The sequence below is a fragment of the Homo sapiens genome, chromosome 1 (genome assembly GCF_000001405.40).
Source record: "Homo sapiens chromosome 1, GRCh38.p14 Primary Assembly".
Classification (NCBI taxonomy): Eukaryota; Metazoa; Chordata; class Mammalia; order Primates; family Hominidae; genus Homo; species Homo sapiens.
The window spans coordinates 120,086,997-120,090,751 of NC_000001.11; positions in this window are offsets into that span (position 1 = coordinate 120,086,997).

Sequence of the window (3,755 nt, forward strand, 5' to 3'; positions counted from 1 at the left end):
TACAGATGGAAAAGCAGCCAGGGTGTTGGGAGTGAGAGCATTTCAGGCAGAAGGAATAGCATAAGCAAAGGCACAGAGGCATGAAATAGCATGGCAAACCCTTGGGGCAGGGGTTACCAGTTGTTTAGTGTTGGTCTGGTTTAAGAACCACCAAGTAAGGAGCAGAAGAATGCACTGGCATGCAAAGCAAGTGCCAGATGACACAAGGCCTGGTAAGGAGCAGCCCTACCATGGAGCTTAGGTATGCTGAAGCTTAGAAGGTAAATCAGGAGCCATTTCATGGTTTCACACAAAAAAGGAAAAACACTGAATTTTCAATTTTGGAAGAAAAGCTTAATGGGGAAGAACCCAGGGCAGGGAGACCATTTAAGGAAGCTATAACAAAGTCCTGGAGGGACGTGGTGGGGCTTGAACTAAAGCAGTGTGAATAGCAGGAGAAGGCAGGGTAGCGATATTTAGGATTCAGAGAGTGACCAAATATGAGGAGCAAGGAGAAAGAGAAGAGTCAAGGATGACCCTACATTTCTGGTTTGGACTTTGGTGAATGTCCATGTGCTTACTGACATGGGAAAAACTGGAAGTTCCTCCCAATATTTCTTAGATTCATATTTTCTGAATCTCTGTATCCACTAGGCTAATCCACCCATCAACCTATGTCTAGACAGTCTTTAAAGTCTTCCTAGCCACTTTTTCTGATTCTAGCCTTTACCCTTCTCAAGCTATTCTCCACGATGTTGTTAGAACAACTAATTCAATATTCATAAAATATTTATTTAGTGCCTGCCATGTTCCAGGTTCTGATATAGACTCTGTTCATATCATAATGAACAAAACAATTTTAAGAATAAGTTAGCTTGCATTTAATCTAGAAGATCCTTATAGAAGGTAATTTTGGGTAGTTCCATCTCCAATTCGTATCTTCTACAATGGCTTCAAATTTCCCGTCACTTTATATCTAAATTTTTTGGTGTATGCTCAAGCTCTCTGTCAACTTCCTTGCACCAAACGAGCTGTAGGGCCTCTTAACTTACAAATGGGTTGTGATCTAAAGCAGTGATTTTCAAACTATCTGTGTGGTTAATTTTTTTTTAATTTCCAAGCTTGTGGTCTAAGTGTCTTCCTGCGTATGACTAGTGCACAGGTCATGCCACCTGTGACTCACTATGAGAATTCCACAACACCCAAACCAGTCCATACCCTGCTCATTGACACGAGTCCACTGACAATGTGCTTGTATGTTACAGCATTCTCGATTTGCTCTAAAAATTTCTAAATGCTCACTCTCAATTTTAGCACCATCCACATACCACATTTGAAATCTCCATACTTAGTAAGCCCCTTACTAAAACACTTTTGAGGGATTTGGAACACATTTTTTATAAGTGCCTAATTGTATCATGATGGCATTTTTTTACTTTTTTTTTTCCTTCAACTTTTAAGTTCAGGGGTATATGTGCAGGATGTGGGGGTTTCTTACATAGGTAAATGTGTGCCATGGTGACTTGCTGTACAGTTCATCCCATCACCTGCTTATTAAGCCCAGTAACCATTAGCTATTCTTCCCGACACTCTCCCTCCCCTCACACCCCCCTCTGACTGACCCCATCATGTGTTGTTCCCCCTATGTGTCCATGTGTTCTCATCATTCATCTCCCACTTATAAGTGAGAACATGCAGTGTTTGGTTCTCTGTCCCTGCGTTAGTTTGCTGAGGATAATGGCCTCCAGCTCCATCCATGTCCCTGCAAAAGATATGATCTTATTCCTTTTTATGGCTGCATAGTATTCCATGGTATGTATGTACATTTTCTTTATCCAGTCTGTCATTGATGGAAATTTAGGTTGATTCCATGTCTTTGCTATCGTGAATGTGCTGCAATGAACATAAACATGCATGTATCTTTATAATATAATGATTTATATTCCTTTGGGTATATACTCAATAGTTGGATTACTAGGTCAAATGTTATTTCAGCCTCTAGCTCTTTGAGGAATTGCCACACTGTCTTCCACAATGGTTGAACTAATTTACACTCCAACTAACAGCATAAAAGCATTCCTTTTTCTCCACAACCTCACCAGCATCTGTTGTTTTTTGACTTTTTAGTAATAGCCATTCTGACTGGCATGAGATGGTATCTCATTGTGGTTTTGATTTGCATTTCTCTAATGATCAGTGATTTTGAGCTTTTTATCATATGTTTTTGGCCACATGTATGACTTCTTTTGAGAAGTGTCTGTTCATGTCCTTTGCCCATCTTTCAATGGGGTTTTTTTTTCTTGTAAATTTGTTTAAGTTCCTTGTAAACTCTGGATATTAGACCTTTGTCAGATGAATAGATTGCAAAAATTTTCTTCCATTCTGTAAATTGTCTGTTCACTCTGATGATAGTTTCATTTGCTGTGCGGAAGCTCATTAGTTTAATTAGATCCCATTTGTCAATTTTTGCTTTTATTGAAATTGCTTTTGGTATTTTTGCCATGAAAGCATTTTTTTTTTTTTTTGGCTCACCCATTAAAACCTATATTGGCCATGCTAGCTCATGTTTTTCCTGTAAACAGACCTTAGACTATGTGGAGGCAGGAGAAGGAAGAGCTCTGGGACGACTCTTTGGTACACCATTTTCCTTTAAAGAATGAATGCTTCTTATTGTGCCTTCCTTTTCATGTTTTTCTTTTACTTCTCCTTAACCATCCCATTTCATGCAAACGAAGATTAAAATTAACGTGAAAGACTCTCAAATTTTTATCAAGTTCTTGCCAGAGGTATTCCAACCACTTCAATTTTACCAGCCCTAATTAGATAAAGCTATTTAGCATAAATCATAGTTGCAATTCAACCTCAGGCTTATGAACTGGCTGGGACTAAAAAAGAGAAGGAGCCTTTTGTCTCCGATTCACTGGCTCAACTCTGGGGCTGGCTTATGTTGGACTTCCTCCAGCCCCCAATGAGTATGTTTGTAGCCTTATATTACAGTTCTTTTAGGACCTTTTTTTCAATCTATATCCTTTCTTTGATTTTTAACACTGCAAACTCTTTCTTCCCTGTGAATAAACTCTTTTTCTATGGCTCTCATGACTCCACATTGGATTTCTTTGTTGTCTCATTCTCCTCTCTCTCCTCCTTAACCGAGGGCCTCATTCTAGACCTTCTCTCGCCCTCACATGCTCTCAGATGCTCTCATCCTCTCCTATGGAATCAGTTATTACCTAGAGAGACTCATGCCCTCAACTCTTTCCTGAGTATGAGACACGTAATTTCAACTGCTTTCTCAACATTTTCATTTAAGTATCTCGAAAGCGTCACAAACTCAACTCGATGTTATTTTTCTGCATTCCATATCAGGACAACGCCATCTGCTTAAACATTCAAGATAAACACTTGGGATCATTTTTGACTCCTCATTTCCCTTTATTCCCCATCTTCAGCTGATTGCCACTCACCATTCCACCACTGCTGTGTTTATTTCTCCAATCATTCTCATTTTCTCCATCTCCACTGCCTTGCCTCAGGCCCTCATCAGTTTTCACCTGGACCATTCTCAGTTCTCTGAACCCTCAGATCAGCAGTGCCCCACCCAGACTCTAAGATGCAGTCCCACTCCTCCCTGGAGCAACCTCTCCTGGTCACTGCATTGTCTTTTCTCTCTGACAGGCATATCCAATCATCCCTACTCTTGAATACTGACCCTCAAAACTCTTCTTTCTTTAGCTCTTTGTAATATAATCAAAACTCCTTTCTCAGCATGAATTGCC